This window comes from Homo sapiens, chromosome 2, assembly GCF_000001405.40.
Source record: "Homo sapiens chromosome 2, GRCh38.p14 Primary Assembly".
In the NCBI taxonomy this organism is placed as follows: Eukaryota; Metazoa; Chordata; class Mammalia; order Primates; family Hominidae; genus Homo; species Homo sapiens.
Genome location: NC_000002.12, coordinates 208,738,767 through 208,756,744, shown reverse-complemented (window position 1 = coordinate 208,756,744; position 17,978 = coordinate 208,738,767). Strand labels below are relative to the sequence as shown.

Sequence of the window (17,978 nt, the reverse complement as noted above, 5' to 3'; positions counted from 1 at the left end):
ACACAGCCAATCTGAGGAATCCAAATTGCCTTAATCTTACTTCACTGTAAGCAACTTGTGAGGTTTGAAAGCCACCTTAATCATCCTTCTTTCACCAACATAGATCCGAGCATATAGTAGGCACTTGATATTTGGTGAATGAATGAGTGATAGAAGACTAGCTATAACCAGGACTTTATCCTTGATTGATCTGATTTTATCATGTGATATAATTTCAGCTATGAAAACATGTGACAAGTGACATAAATCCAGATTTTTTAAAATATTAATGTCATTTCAAATGTTTGTTTCAGTAACTTTCTATTATATGTTAATTTTTCTTAATTTTTAAACAATGTAAATCATTCCTTTTATCTCTATTCTTTGCAAATGTTCTGCTACTTTGGCAATCACCCTATATGATGAATTGCCAGAACTCAGACTCAAATTACTTCTCAAACTATCTAGTATTTAATCTGAACATCCAAGAAGACATTTATTACTTTGGAGTGAGTCATTTTCAAGATGAAACTCTTTGGTTTCTTACCAGCTTCTATGACATAAGCAAGTCATTATCAATTTAATAAAATGTAAAATAAAACTAAAAATTAAAAGAATATTTTTCTTTAATTCCTCCAAAGTCAGTTTTATAATACAGATGACTGATGGTCTGACTCTTTTGCTTAACAATTATCAATTGTTACATGATATTAACTTTTAAGAAGTAATTTTATTTCCAAACTGGCTAACATTTAGTAAGACTTAACAAGTACCAGCTAGCCTTAACATGAAAAATCAAAACTATATATTCCATAGATCCTTTGGTTGAACTGGTTAACTACAATATTATTTTATAAATTTCCCAGCAATAGAACTTGAAAAGTGATGAAAACAACCAAGTAGTAATTAGCAAATGAAGCCAATTTGAAAAAGCCCCAAATAAATGGGCACCAAAATCTATCTAATAAATTGCTGAGATATAATGATACACATTATACCAAGTTTAAATTCAAGTGACATTTTTTTGGTTAGGTAAATTTAAATTTAATTTAACTCTGATGTTGAACCCTTGCGGTTTTTCTCCTTTAAAATATCTACTTCCTATTCCTTCTAGATATGAATGTGTATTATTTAAATATAATTTAAATAATAAATTTTAAAAATTTAATAAAATTAAATATCAATAACTTCTATCTTTGCAATTTTTGCAGTTTAAATTGTAAGAGAAATGCTACCACCCAAAAATAAAGAAGCCACTATAAAAAGCCATTTATATTATAAAAATATATATAACTTAAACACCTTTTATTAAACATTCCTTTCACTTGTGTTTTTCTAATATTAAAAACTATAAATTATTCTTATTTTTTGAATGATTATATTAAGCGTTATTGAGGTATAACTGATAAACAAAAAAACCCACACATATTAAATTTATACCTTTTCATGAGTTTGGACACACATGCAAACAACCATGATGCCATCACTACAATCAAGGTACCAAACATATTCATCACCTCCAAAAATTTCCTTATGTTCTTCGTGGGATTTGGCAGGGGGTTGTTTGACATAACACTTAATATGAGATCTATCCTCTTAAGGTAATTTAAAGTACATAATACCATAGTTAATTACAGGTATTGTTAACTATAGGTACCTAACTATAGGTACTATCTTGTATATAGGTACCAGGTGGCAGTCTTTAATGGCAGTGCCAGCCAGTCCAATTAAGCAAGAAAAAGATATAAAAGACATGCAAAGCAGAAAGAAGTAAAATTGTCTTTTTGCAGATGATATAATTTTATATCTAGGAAACTCTAAAGATGCCACATACAAAAAAACCCTGATAAAACAAAAACTAATAAATCAATTTAGCAAAATTGCAGTATACAACATCAACATATAAATATCAGTTGAACATATAAATATCAAGGAAGTATTTGAAAAAAATAAGAAAACAATATCATTAACAATAGCATCAGAAGAATCAAATGCTAAGGAATAAATCAAGTATTTATTTAAATATTTAAAACTGTTACTAAAATATTTAAACCAATAAAACCAAGGAGGTCAAAGACTTGTATACTAACAATCATAAAACACTGATGAAGTTAAACAAGAAACAAATAAATGGAAAGAGATCTTGTGTTCATGGAGTGGAAGAATTAACGTTTCTAAAATGCCCATACTACATGAAGTGATCTACAGATTCGATGAAATCCCTATCAAAATTCCAAAGGCATTTCCTCACAAATAGAAAATACAATTCTACAATTCATATGGAAACACAAAAGACTCCAAATCACCAGAGCAATCTTGAGAAAGAAGAACAAAGCTAGAGGGATCATATTCCCTGGTTTCAAAATATATTACAAAGCCACAGTAATCAAAACAATATGGTACTGGCATAAAAACAGACACATAGACCAATCTAACAAAGTAGAGAGCCCAGAAATAAAACCGTGCATATTCAGTCAACTGATCTTTAGCAAGGATGTTAAGAACACACAGTGGGAAAAGACAGCCTCTTCAATAAATGGTGTTAGAAAAACTGAATATCCTCATGAAAAAGAATGGAATTAGACTCCTAATTTACACCATATACAAAAGTTGCTCGAAATGGATTAAAGACTTAAACATAAGACCTGAAACTGTAAACTCCAAAAGAAACACAGGGGAAAATCTTTTGGGCAATGGTCTTGTCAATTATTTCATGAATTTGACGCAAGCAGCAAAATAAAAAAATAGATGGAACTACGTCAAATTAAAATGCTCTGCACAGCAATGAAAAAAATCAAAGTAAAGAGGCAACCTATGGAACAAGAGAAAATATTTGCAAACCATCTATCTCATAAGGGATTAATACCCAAAATGTATTAGAATTTGTCCTACAACTGAATAGCAAAAAAACAAACTGATGAAAAATGGGCAAAGGATTTCAACAGCACTTGTAAATAAAAAGGTCTTTCATTTTTCCAAAGACATACAAATAGCCAACAGGTATATGAAAAGCTGCTCAGCATCACCAGTCATCAGGGAAATGCTGACCAAAACCATAATGAGATATTACCTCATACCTGTTAGAATAACTAGTGTTAAAAAAATAAAAAAAAAAAGCCTAGGCACAGTGGGTCACACATCTAATTCCAGTACTTTCTGAGGCCAAGGTGGGGAAATCACTGAGCCCAGGAGTTCAAAATTAGCCTGGGCAACATAGCAAATCCCAGCCTCTATTTTTATAAAATAAATAAACATTAAAAAAAGTGTTATCCAGGACGTGAAGAAATTGGAACTCTTGCACATTGTTGGTGGCAATGAAAAATGGTGAAGCCAAATGGAAAACAACATGTAGTTTCTTCCAAAAAGTAAAAGTAGAACTACCATATGATCCAGCTATTACACTTAAGAGTATGTATTCAAAAGAGTTAGAATCAGGGTCTCAAAGAAATATCTGCATTTCCACATTTGTTGCAGCATTATTCACAACAGCCATAATGTGAAAACAAACCAAATGATTATCAACCGATGAATAAGAAAAATGTGGTATATTCATACAGTGAAATATTATTTAGCTTTTAAAAAAATAAAAATATTACCTTTTGTGACAACCTCGAATACAGTATGCTAAGTTAAATAAGCCAGTCACAGAAGGACAAATACTGTATGATTCCATTAATATAAATAGTCAAACTCATAGAAGTAGAGCATAGAATGGTGGTTGCGAGAGGATTAGGAGGAGGTGGAAATGGGGAATCGCTGTTGAATGAAACACAGTTCCATTGCAGTTATACCTTTCTTTCCTGAAACTCTTGATCATCTGGATGTTATCATAAATGTATTCAATTATAAAGCCAGTCTACTTAAAACTTATGCATTAACATATTTGCAAAAGAAATGTTTCTTCTGTGATTCGTGTGAGGAATTATCATAATCTACCTGCATACGACTTGAAGCTGTTTAGAGAAGTGTAATGTTATATGTGGTTAATATAAATGCGTAACACTTAAGTAATAATTTACCAATATTGGAATGAATTTTATGCTTTGGATTATCTGTGTCAATGTCTAATGTATTCTCTGGTTCCTAGAGAATATACCAATGTTTAAAATTGTTGTCTTTTGAAGGAGGAGCCAAGATGGCCGAATAGGAACAGCTCCAGTCTACAGCTCCCAGCGTGAGCGATGCAGAAGACGGGTGATTTCTGCATTTCCATCTGAGGTACCGGGTTCATCTCACTAGGGAGTGCCAGACAGTGGGCGCAGGACAGTGGGTGCAGCGCACCGTGTGCGAGCCGAAGCAGGGCGAGGCATTGCCTCACTCAGGAAGCACAAGGGATCAGGGAGTTCCCTTTCCTGGTCAAGGAAAGGGCTGAGAGACAGCACCTGGAAAATCGGGCCACTCCCACCCGAATTCTGCGCTTTTCTGACGGGCTTAGGAAACCCGGCACAACAGGAGACTATATCCCACACCTGGCTTGGAGGGTCCTACGCTCACAGAATCTCACTGATTGCTAGCACAGCAGTCTGAGATCAAACTGCAAGGCCACAGTGAGGCTGGGGGAGGGGCGCCCGCCATTGCCCAGCCTCGCTTAGGTAAACAAAGCAGCCTGGAAGCTCCAACTGGGTGGAGCCCACCGCAGCTCAAGGAGGCCTGCCTGCCTCTGTAGGCTCCACCTCTGGGGGCAGGGCACAGACAAACAAAAAGACAGCAGTAACCTCTGCAGACTTAAATGTCCCTGTGTGACAGCTTTGAGGACAGCAGTGGTTCTCCCAGCACGCAGCTGGAGATCTGAGAACAGGCAGACTGCCTCCTCAAGTGGGTCCCTGACCCCCGACCCCCGAGCAGCCTAACTGTGAGGCACCCCCCAGTAGGGGCAGACTGAAACCTCACACGGCCGGGTACTCCTCTGGGACAAAACTTCCAGAGGAACAATCAGACAGCAGCATTCGCCGATCACGAAAATCCGCGGTTCTGCAGACACCGCTGCTGATACCCAGGAAAACAGGGTCTGGAGTGGACCTCTAGCAAACTCCAACAGACCTGCAGCTGAGGGTCCTGTCTGTTAGAAGGAAAACTAACAAACAGAAAGGACATCCACACCAAAAACCCATCTGTACATCACCATCATCAAAGACCAAAAGTAGATAAAACCACAAAGATGGGGAAAAAACAGAACAGAAAAACTGGAAACTCTAAAAAGCACAGCACCTCTCCTCCTCCAAAGGAACGCAGTTCCTCACCAGCAACGGAACAAAGCTGGACAGAGAATGACTTTGACAAGTTGAGAGAAGAAGGCTTCAGACGATCAAACTACTCTGAGCTACAGGAGGAAATTCAAACCAAAGGCAAAGAAGTTGAAAACCTTGAAAAAAATTTAGATGAATGTATAACTAGAATAACCAATACAGAGAAGTCCTTAAAGGAGCTGATGGAACTGAAAGTCAAGGCTCGAGAAATACGTGAAGAATGCAGAAGCCTCAGGAGCTGATACAATCAACTGAAAGAAAGGGTATCAGTGATGGAAGATGAAATGAATGAAATGAAGCCAGAAGGGAAGTTTAGAGAAAAAAGAATAAAAAGAAATGAGCAAAGCCTCCAAAAATATGGGACTATGTGAAAAGACCAAATCTGCATCTGATTGGTGTACCTGAAAGTGACAGGGAGAATGGAACCAAGTTGGAAAACACTCTGCAGGATATTATCCAGGAGAACTTCCCCAATCTAGCAAGGCAGGCCAACATTCACATTCAGGAAATACAGAGAATGCCACAAAGATACTCCTCGAGAAGAGCAACTCCAAGACACATAATTGTCAGATTCACCAAAGTTGAAATGAAGTAAAAAATGTTAAGGGCAGAAAGAGAGAATGGTCGAGTTACACTCAAAGGGAAGCCCATCAGACTAACAGCAGATGTCTCAGCAGAAACTCTACAAGACAGAAGAGAGTGGGGGCCAATATTCAACATTCTTAAAGAAAAGAATTTTCAACCCAGAATTTCATATCCAGCCAAACTAAGCTTCATAAGTGAAGGAGAAATAAAATACAGACAAGCAAATGCTGAGAGATTTTGTCACCACCAGGCCTGCCCTAAAAGAGCTCCTGAAGGAAGCGCTAAACATGGAAAGGCACAACCAGTACCAGCCGCTGCAAAATCATGCCAAAATGTAAAGACCATCAAGACTAGGAAGAAACTGCATCAACTAACGAGCAAAATAACCTGCTAACATCATAATGACAGGATCAAATTCACACATAACAATATTAACTGTAAATGTAAAGGGACTAAATGCTCCAATTAAAAGACACAGACTGGCAAATTGGATAAAGAGTCAAGACCCATCAGTGTGCTGTATTCAGGAAACCCATCTCATGTGCAGAGACAAACATAGGCTCAAAATAAAAGGATGGAGGAAGATCTGCCAAGCTAATGGAAAACAAAAAAAGGCAGGGGTTGCAATCCTAGTCTCTGATAAAACAGACCTTAAACCAACAAAGATCAAAAGAGACAAAGAAGGCCATTACATAATGGTAAAGGTACCAGTTCAACAAGAAGAGCTAACTATCCTAAATATATATGCACCCAATACAGGAGCACCCAGATTCATAAAGCAAGTCCTGAGTGACCTACAAAAAGACTTAGAATCCCACACAATAATAATGGGAGACTTTAACACCCCACTGTCAACATTAGACAGATCAACGAGACAGAAAGTTAACAAGGATACTCAGGAATTGAACTCAGCTCTGCACCAAGCAGACCTAATAGACATCTACAGAACTCTCCACCCCAAATCAACAGAATATACATTTTTTTCAGCACCACACCACACCTATTCCAAAATTGACCACATAGTTGGAAGTAAAGCTCTCCTCGGCAAATGTAAAAGAACAGAAATTATAACACTGTCTCTCAGACCACAGTGCAATCAAACTAGAACTCAGGATTAAGAAACTCACTCAAAACCGCTCAACTACATGGAAACTGAACAACCTGCTCCTGAATGACTACTGGGTACGTAACAAAATGAAGGCAGAAATAAAGATGTTCTTTGAAACCAATGAGAACAAACACACAACGTACCAGAATCTCTGGGACACATTCAAAGCAGTGTGTAGAGAGAAATTTATAGCACTGAACGCCCACAAGAGAAAGCAAGAAAGATCCAAAATTGACACCCTAACATCACAATTCAAAGAACTACAGAAGCAAGAGCAAACACATTCAAAAGCTAGCAGAAGGCAAGAAATAACTAAAATCAGAGCAGAACTGAAGGAAATAGAGACACAAAAAACCCTTCAAAAAATTAGTGAATCCAGGAGCTGATTTTTTGAAAGGATCAGCAAAACTGATAGACCGCTAGCAAGACTAATAAAGAAAAAAAGAGAGAAGAATCAAATAGTCGCAATAAAAAATGATAAAGGGGATATCACCACCGATCCCACAGAAATACAAACTACCATCAGAGAGTACTACAAACAACTCTATGCAAAAAAACTAGAAAATCTAGAAGAAATGGAAAAATTCCTCGACACATACACTCTCCCAAGACTAAACCAGGAAGAAGTTGAATCTCTGAATAGACCAATAACAGGCTCTGAAATTGTGGCAATAATCAATAGCTTACCAACCAAAAAGAGTCCAGGACCAGATGGATTCACAGCCGAATTCTACCAGAGGTACAAGGAGCAACTGGTACCATTCCTTCTGAAACTATTCCAAACAATAGAAAAAGAGTGAATCCTCCCTAACTCATTTTATGAGGCCAGCATCATCCTGATACCAAAGCCGGGCAGACACACAACCAAAAAAGAGAATTTTAGACCAATATCCTTGATGAACATTGATGCAAAAATCCTCAATAAAATACTGGCAAACCAAATCCAGCAGCACATCAAAAAGCTTATCCACCATGATCAAGTGGGCTTCATCCCTATGATGCAAGGCTGGTTCAATATATGCAAATCAATAAATGTAATCCAGCATGGAAACAGAACCAAAGACAAAAACCACATGATTATCTCAATAGATGCAGAAAAGGCCTTTGACAAAATTCAACAACACTTTATGCTAAAAATTCTCAATAAATTAGGTATTGATGGGACATATCTCAAAATAATAAGAGCTATCTATGACAAACCCACAGCCAATATCATACTGAATGGGCAAAAACTGGAAGCATTCCCTTTGAAAACTGGCACAAGACAGGGATGCCCTCTCTCACCACTCCTATTCAACATAGTGTTGGAAGTTCTGGCCAGGGCAATCAGGCAGGAGAAGGAAATAAACGGTATTAAATTAGGAAAAGAGGAAGTCAAATTGTCCGTGTTTGCAGATGACATGACTGTATATCTAGAAAACCCCATTGTCTCAGCCCAAAATCTCCTTAAGCTGATAAGCAACTTCAGCAAAGTCTCAGGATACAAAATCAATGTACAAAAATCACAAGCATTCTTATACACCAATAACAGACAAACAGAGAGCCAAATCATGAGTGAACTCCCATTCACAATTGCTTCAAAGAGAATAAAATACTTAGGAATCCAACTTACAAGGGACGTGAAGGACCCCTTCAAGGAGAACTACAAACCACTGCTCAATGAAATAAAAGAGGATACAAACAAATGGAAGAACATTCCATGCTCATGGGTAGGAAGAATCAACATCGTGAAAATGGCCATACTGCCCAAGGTAATTTATAGATTCAATGCCATCCCCATCAAGCTACCAATGACTTTCTTCACAGAATTGGAAAAAACTACTTTAAAGTTCATATGGAACCAAAAAAGAGCCCACAACGCCAAGTCAATCCTAAGCCAAAAGAACAAAGCTGGAGGCATCACGCTACCTGACTTCAAACTATACTACAAGGCTACAGTAACCAAAACAGCATGGTACTGGTACCAAAACAGATATATATAGATCAATGGAACAGAACAGAGCCCTCAGAAATAACGCCACATATCTACAACTATTTGATCTTTGACAAACCTGAGAAAAACAAGCAATGGGGAAAGGATTCCCTATTTAATAAATGGTGCTGGGAAAACTGGCTAGCCATATGTAGAAAGCTGAAACTGGATCCCTTCCTTACACCTTATACAACAATTAATTCAAGATGGATTAAAGACTTAAACGTTAGACCTAAAACCATAAAAACCCTAGAAGAAAACCTAGGCATTACCATTCAGGACATAGGCATGGGCAAGGACTTCATGTCTAAAACACCAAAAGCAATGGCAACAAAAGCCAAAATTGACAAATGGGATCTAATTAAACTAAAGAGCTTCTGCACAGCAAAAGAAACTACCATCAGAGTGAACAGGCAACCTACAAAATGGGAGAAAATATTCGCAACCTACTCATCTGACAAAGGGCTAATATCCAGAGTCTACAATGAACTCAATGAAATTTACAAGAAAAAAACAAACAACCCCATCAAAAAGTGGGCAAAGAATATGAACAGACACTTCTCAAAGGAAGACCTTTATGCAGCCAAAAGACACATGAAAAAATGCTCATCATCACTGGCCATCAGAGAAATGCAAATCAAAACCACAATGAGATACCATCTCACACCAGTTAGAATGGCAATCATTAAAAAGTCAGGAAACAACAGGTGCTGGAGAGGATGTGGAGAAATAGGAACACTTTTACACTGTTGGTGGGACTGTAAACTAGTTCAACCATTGTGGAAGTCAGTGTGGCGATTCCTCAGGGATCTAGAACTAGAAATACCATTTGACCCAGCCATCCCATTACTGGGTATATACCCAAAGGACTATAAATCATGCTGCTATAAAGACACATGCACACGTATGTTTATTGTGGCACTATACACAATAGCAAAGGCTTGGAACCATGCCAAATGTCCAACAATGATAGACTGGATTAAGAAAATGTGGCACATATACACCATGGAATACTATGCAGCCATAAAAAATGATGAGTTCATGTCCTTTGTAGGGACATGGATGAAACTGGAAATCATCATTCTCAGTAAACTATTGCAAGGACAAAAAACCAAACACCGCATGTTCTCACTCATAGATGGGAATTGAACAATGAGAACCCATGGACACAGGAAGGGGAACATCACACTCTGGGGACTGTTGTGGGGGGGGGAAGGGGGAGGGATAGCATTAAGGGATATACCTAATGCTAAATGACGAGTTAATGGGTGCAGCACACCAGCATGGCACATGTATACATATGTAACTAACCTGCACATTGTGCACATGTACCCTAAAACTTAAAGTATAATAATAATAAAAAATAATAATAAATAAAAACATAAAACTGTCGTCTTTTTACACAAAATCTCTTTCCTTGATCTGCCATATTAAACTTGTTTTCTAATATTATCCAACAAATAATTCCTGTAAAGAAACATAACAGTACTATCATAGATGTTGAATACTATTATTTTTATTGGAGTATGATTGACATACAGTAAGCTTCATATATTGAATGCTTACAATTTAAGAAGTTTTGACATATGTATATATTTGTGATACAGTCAACACAATCAATATCTAACACTCCAAATCTCCCCTCAGTCCCCTTTATGATCCACGCCCCCACCATTCCTGCTGCCAATCCCTAGGCTTTCCATTGATTTACTTTCCTTCACTATAGATTAGCCTTTACTTTCTGGAATGTTATATAAATGGAAAATACAATATACATTCTTTTTTTGTATAAGTTTTTTCACTCAGCGTTCAGCTAACTCAGTTATTTTGAGATCCAGACCTGTTGTTGTTTGTATCAAAATTTTATTTGTTTTTATTGTTGAGTAACATTTTATTTATGTATATACCATAATTTGTTTATCTTTTCATCTGTTTGGGGTAATTGGGAGTTTTGACTAAATCAAATAAGGTTGATATGAACATATATATACACAAGTATTTGAATGGATATATGCTTTTGTTTCTCTCATCTAAAATCCTAGGGGTGAAATGGCTCATATAGTGAGGATAGGTTTCACTTTTTAAGAAACTGTCAAACTGTTTTTCAGCTGTATCACAAACATTCTCACCAGCATGTATGAGAGTTCCAGTCACTCTATCATCTCACCTACAGCAGGTCTTCTTAGTCTTTTTTAAATTTTAGCCACTCTAATAGATGTGTAGTGATATCTCGTTATGGTTTTAATCTGCATTCCCCTAATGACTAATGATAAGCATCTTCTTGTGTGCTTATTTACCATTCATATAATCTTAATTGATGAAGTATCTGTTCATATGTTTAGCCCATTTTTAATTGGATTGTTTTCTTATTATAAATTCTCAGAGGTCATCATATAGATGGATATAAGCCCATTGTATAATAAATGATCTGTAAACATTTTCTCCCAAGTTGTGAAATGTCTCTTCATTCTCTTAACTGTGTCTTTGATGAAGTACAATTCATTAGTATTTTTCTATTATGATCCATGATATTGGTTTTGCATTTAAGAAATCTTTGCCTAACTCAGTGTTTCTCAAATTTTATTTTTGCCTAAAAGAATCTAAGATCATTTTTTCATGATTACTTCCTCTTCATGAAATTTTACTACCACAGATATACACAAACCATTCAATAACTACATTTTTTTTCATCCTCCAAGAACCGATAATTACCCACTTAGGGGCAATATTGACCCTGTTGAGAATTTAAGGTCTAACCCAGGTTCACAAAATTTTTCTCTTATGTGTTCTTCTAAAAGTTTATATTTTACATTTTCATTAAGGTCTATAAATCATTTTGAGTTCCTTTTTGTAGATTTTGAGGTGTGGGTTGGAGTTTCATTTTTATGTTTATGAATATCTAATTATTCCACACCATTTGTTGAAAAGACTGTCTTTTTTGTTTTCACTGAATTATTGCCTTCGCACATTTCTTAAATATCAGGTGACCATATATGTGGAAATCTATTTCTTGACTCTCTATTGTGTGACATTGATCTATTTTTCTCTCCTATGCCAATACAACATTATCCTGATTATATTTAAAGTAACTCTGAAGACAGGTAGTATAAGTCCACCAATTGTGTTCTTCTTTTTGAAAGTTGCTGTAGTGTGTATATTTCCTTGGCATTACCATATGAATTTTTAATTGCTTTATTTATTTAAAAAGTTCTTCTGGGATTTTTATTGGTATTACATTATATATATAGATATAGTTGGAGAGAACTGATGTCTTAATAATATTACTAACTTCTGATCCATAAACATGGTATACCTCTGATTATGTATGTCTCTCATTTCAACGATTTTTGATAGTTTTCAGTGTGTTAGTATTAAACATATTTTGTCACATATATCATTAAATATTTTATGTTTACTGATGCTGTTGTAAATGGTATTGTAATTTTCATTTCTAATTCCAAACGCTTTGTTCTAATACATAATTATAAAATTCATTTTTGAGAATGAGATCACATCTTTTGCAGGAACACAGATGGAACTGGAAACCATTGTCTTTAGGAAACTAATTCAGGACCAGAAAACCAAATACTGCATGTTCTCACCTATAAGTGGGAGCTAAGTAATGAGAATACAGGGACAAAAAGAGAGGAGCAACAGACATTGGAGCCTACTTGAGGTGTGAAGGGTGAGAAAAAGGAAAAAATTCAGAAAAAAAGAAAACTGTTAGGTAATATGCTTAGTACCCAGGTGACAAAATTACCTGTAAACCAAACCTCCAAGTCACAAGTTTACTATATAACAAACCTGCACATATACTCCTGAACCTAAAATAAAAGTTAAAATATTTTTAAAAATAAAAATAAAATTAGTTTTTGTACTTGATTTTATATCCCACAGGCTTGTTAAAATTCCTTATAAGTTCTAGGAGCTTTCTTGTAGCTTCCATAGGATTCTACATAAATGATCGTGTCCCCTTTGAACACAGTTTTATTCACATTCTTTTTTTCACGTGTCTTATTGCACTGGGTATAACCACCTATAGAGTGTTAAATAGGCATGGGTGGGAGTAGATAGCCTTGTCTTGTTTCTGATCTTAGGGGGAAAGCATTTAATCTTTCACGATTAAATATGATGTTAGCTTTAAATTTTCTACAGATACCTCTATAGGTTGTGGAAGTTCTCTATTTGCTGAGTTATTGTTTCGGGTTTCATTACTGAGAGAGGGTGAGATGGGTTTTATTGGTGAGAGAGGAGGGAGAGTTGCTCCCCGCTCCATCCTTCCCCACCAATAAAACTCAAACAGATATGGTATTTGGATAAATAGTATATCTGCATCTATTGAGATACCGTATTCTCTTTTTAGGCTTTTTTTAGTCTATTAATATGATAAATTATATTGATTAATTTTCAAATGCTAAAACAACCTGTGTTCCAGGGTCAGATGTCATTTGGTCATAATGTATTGTACTTATATATTACTGGGTTCATTTTGTCAAAAATTAAAAAACTAATTTTGCATCTATAACATAATAGATACTAGCCTTTAGTTTTCCTATCTTGTAATATATTTGTTTGATTTCTCTATCAGAGTAATGCTACTCTCAAAGTGAATTGGGGGGTAGTTCTTCCTTGTCAGTTTTCTCAAAGCATTTGTATAGAATTGGTATTATTTCTTCCTTAAATGTTAGGTACAATAGACTAGCGAAGCTTTCAGGGCCTAAAAGTTTCTTTGTGGAAATGTTTTTAATTAAACTTTTCATTCCTATAATAGATACAAGACTACTCAGGCTATCTATTTTTTCTTAAGTTTTATTAGTTTGTGTGTATCAAGGAATTTGCTGAATTCATCAAAATTTTCCACTTTATTGACATAATGTTGTTTTTTAATATTCTCTATTATCATTTTAATATCTATAGAAGCCATAATAACAATCTCTCTCATTACTGGATTCGTAATGTGTGTATTTTTTCTTTCTTTCTGATTTGTTAGAGATCATTCCATTTCTATCTTTTTTACACAACAGTTTGTTATATTATTAACTTTTTCTATTGCTTGCATGTTTTCCATTACTTTAATTATCTTTATTATTCCCTCTCTTCTATTTGGACTTTATTTGCTTTTCTTTGTTTCTTTTTTAAGGTGTACATTGAGGTTATTTGTTGTCTCAAAACTTTTCTCTTTTTCTAATGCAAGTATTTGAATTTTCCTCTAAGTATTGTATTAGCTGCAAACCACAAAATTTTGATATGTTATATTTTCATTTTCATTTAATTCAAAATAACCTCTATTTCCCTTTTGATTTATTCTTTCATTGATAGTTATTTAGAAGTGTATTACTTAGTCCAAATATTTGTGCATTTTTCCACAATTTCTTTTTCATAAAATTTTATGGAAGGAGAAATTTAGGAGTGGTACCTAAAGAGGAAAATAAGGAGGCAATGCACATTATCTACTAAAATTGTGTAAGCAGTCAGTAAAACTATGTTCCAAAGTGGCATTTAAAAATTAATTTTATAGTTCTAGGTATAGAGGAGGGATGGGAGCTACCTGCAATACATCAAGTCATTCTGAGTATTGCAAGTGTGTTTCAGGAATTCATGTGCTCAAATAGCAATAAGAGACTTTGCTGGAAGCCAATGAATATCATATAAATCTGATACAATACAATCAAATTTAACTGTTTCACAACAAAAGATATAAAGTTGAGAGTTGCAATTAATTTGAGTGGTTCTATTTCTAGGCCTGATCAGAGTCATAAGTAGTCTAAATGGATTCTCATTGGTGATTTTTCAACATAAGGTCTTTATTTACACACATTTATTTGATAGGAACCAAACAGCCAACACTCTGCTTATATTAGAAAAGCCATGATCTTTTCTCTTAAAGTGATTACAGTCCAGTGAGTGGAAAAACAAATTTTGTGTAAATTGCCACAATGAAAAGTGTTGATATGAGTATAGGTAATGAAAGAATGGGGAGAAGACAAAGCATTATGTCTGTACAGGGCAGTCAGGGAGAGCATTGCAAAGGGAAAAGTGTTTGAACTACCCTTAAGGAAGGAGATATTTGACAAGATTAGAGTGGAAGATTAGTCCAAGGTGAATAATTTTGTAATCTATAGCAGTTTCTGTCAATACATTAAAACTAGGAAAGTATACCATTCAAGAACTACTTGGACATTTAAATTTTCAGTCTTATTAAGGTTGGTACAAATCTAAATAATAATAGTATTGTCTGTTGTATTTTAGTCTTATTTAATACTATTGTGCTATTACTCTTGTAAGTGAGCATTGCTTTGTCTTAAGAAAACCAGATTCACTAGCAAAATCAGATGTATGGAGAATGAGTAATGGTGAGGGACTCTAAAGACTTAAGATCATAATATAATACTTATGTGATTAAAAGTGATTATATAAATGGAATTCTGTGTATATCAAAAAAGTTTAAACTTTAAACTCTTTAGGAGTAAGAATTCAAATATCATATTTAATGTTCCAAAAAATCACCTCACAAACTCTATTTATAACATCTATTATTACTATTATTATTACAAGTATTTAGAATTCAGTGTTGAAACCAGTCTGCGATAGCAAGTTAGATGTGTGCTTTCAATTTGCACAGTTACTAGGTTATCGTATTTATCAGTTGTTATTCATTATTTGTTTAACAAGGTACAAAACAATATATTTTCAGGTATAGAGCACTTAAGATATAGACACTTAAACTGACATGTGGATTCCACATTATCATAAAATAAATTCTGAGAAATCACCTGCTTAGGTTTCAAAACAAGGTGATTATTTTGCAACTGAAAACAATAAAGAGTACTTATGGATTCAGTTAAAGAAAATGATCAGTGTTGGAATAAGAAATTATGTATGAGTCATTAACTAAAATCAATTGTCTTTCCCTTGGATTCTGTTGGGTATGCATGTCATTATTCAGATTCAAGAGAAGTACTCTTTCTAAAGTTGTTTCTAAGATCAAAATAATATGAACCAGAGGAAAATTAAATATCTAGGAAATACAAGTGAATGAACCAATTTAGAACCAACAAATGCTGATTTAAATGTTAGCCACTAACCTAGCCCTGAGTTTTAGTCTTGAAGATGGGTAAAATGGAGACTTTTACTGGATCAGTGACCATCCACTTGCCTTGTGACATCTATGAAAGGAATTCAAAATCCAAATAAGGAGTAATAAACAATCTATTTTCCTTGCTAAATTAGTTCATTTTCACACTACTATAAAGAACTACCTGAAATTGGGTAATTTATAAAGAAAAGAGGTTTAATTGACTCACAGTTCCAGATGGCTTGGGAGGCCTAGGAAACTTACAATCATGGTGAAAGCTAATGGGGAAGCAAGGCACTTCTTACAGGGTGGGAGGAGAGAGAGAGTTGGGGGGGGAAGCGTCACACTTCTAAATCATCAGATCTCATGAGAACTCACTCACTATCACAAGAACAGCATAAGAGAAATCTGCTCCCATGATCCAGTCACCTCCCACTAGGTCTCTCCCCTGACACATGTTGATTACAATTCGACATGAGATTTGGATGTCGACACAGGGCCAAACCATATCACTTGTCTTTGAGCAAACAAATTTGATCCTTTAACACTAAATAAATTATGAAAAGAAAACACAAAAACAAAACACGCGTTCTAAGAAATGCAGGAAAGACAAAGCATTAAAAACAATAAGGGAAAATTTTTCTCTCTGACAACACTGACACCAAAAAAAATAACCTATTTAAAATTCGTATTACTTCAAAGAAATGCTATGGCACTGTAACAATGGTCATTCAACAGCTTTATACCATGGTGAATACAACCCAGCTCCTTTTCTACCACATCTACTTTAGGTTTACCAAAGAAGATGAATGAAAATTAAAAGCAAAACAGAAAACTTTCAAAGTTAAAATTAACTTTAAAGTTTTTTTCCAGAGGGTGGATTCGAGTCTTTTAGCAAGACTTAGCTATGTAGAAATAACAAGAAAGTACATAAAGATAAATTCTGTGTGTGTTAATTTGAGAAAGAAATAAGAATCCACCAGAATTGTGAAAGACACCCCAACTTGGTGAGGAGAATGTGGGCAAACAGCCCCTGCGATAGCAAACAGCTGATAAAAGTGATTGAAGCCCCAGTACATGGGAGAAGCAGAGAGTCTCCTCCAAATAATAGCACTTTGTTTCTCCCAAGTCCTGGAGCTAACCTGGAGAGAAGCATGGAGGCACTGAGAGGAAAAAACACTGGGGAAAGCTTCAGGCATCTTCGCAGACCTTGGACTGAGAGGAGGACACTATTTATAATCCAGGTGAATACAAAGTCAGCCATTCTTTGTCAACCCAACAGCATAGCCACACAAGCATTTTAATCTTGATCCAAAGACTGGAGAGCTTGCTCTGGATTGGGGCATGGGCCTCTACAGCTAGAACTGTGGCAAATGTATCAGCAGTAGGCATTACAATTGTGCTCCTATGGTTTTCCTGCATAATGAGACTTGTAGCCAGGTCCAGCTTGGCAAGCTGAAACCAGTCTGTGTGTGTCACTGCTGAGTGCCCTAGCCTGCACCCCTGAGATTATGGTGCCACAGGGGCCTCACTACTCCATCCCCAGGCAGAAATCCAGGCATTCAGAAGCACCTACTTGCCTGGAACAGCAGCCAGAATCACCCCACCCTTCAAGGACATAGACAATGGTGAAGCAAGGCTTTTTCTGGTCCATTCTCAGGCAAAAATCTGGGTATTTAGAGCACCCACTAGCCTGGTTCAGCAGACTGAGCCTCTTCATCCTTTTTATGCAGAGATTATTGTGAAATAGGGACCACTCTGATCCATGCTGAGGCAGATCTCCTGGCATTCAGAGTGCCCACTTACCTGGTTCAGAAGCCTGAACCATCCCACTCTTTCTGTGCAGAGATTGTGGTGCAGCAGGACCCTCTCAACTCCGTATGTCATACTTAAGAGCATTTCGTGGCTGTTCATTGAATTCTTTCTTGGCACTGGTGTTTGTGCCTGCTATCTGGGGACCTCCAGGTGAGCCTGCCCAGTCTAGCCCCACCCATCTTGGATCTCCTTCCCTGT

The 17,978-nt window shown here is 35.9% G+C and overlaps 1 long non-coding RNA gene across 1 annotated transcript in view; it reads right to left on the bottom strand.

Moving 5' to 3' along the window:
• LOC101927960 (uncharacterized) overlaps positions 1 to 17,978 on the bottom strand; it is a 282,946-nt gene that overhangs the window by 68,843 nt on the left and 196,125 nt on the right. The gene's annotated exons all lie outside the window — the stretch shown is intronic.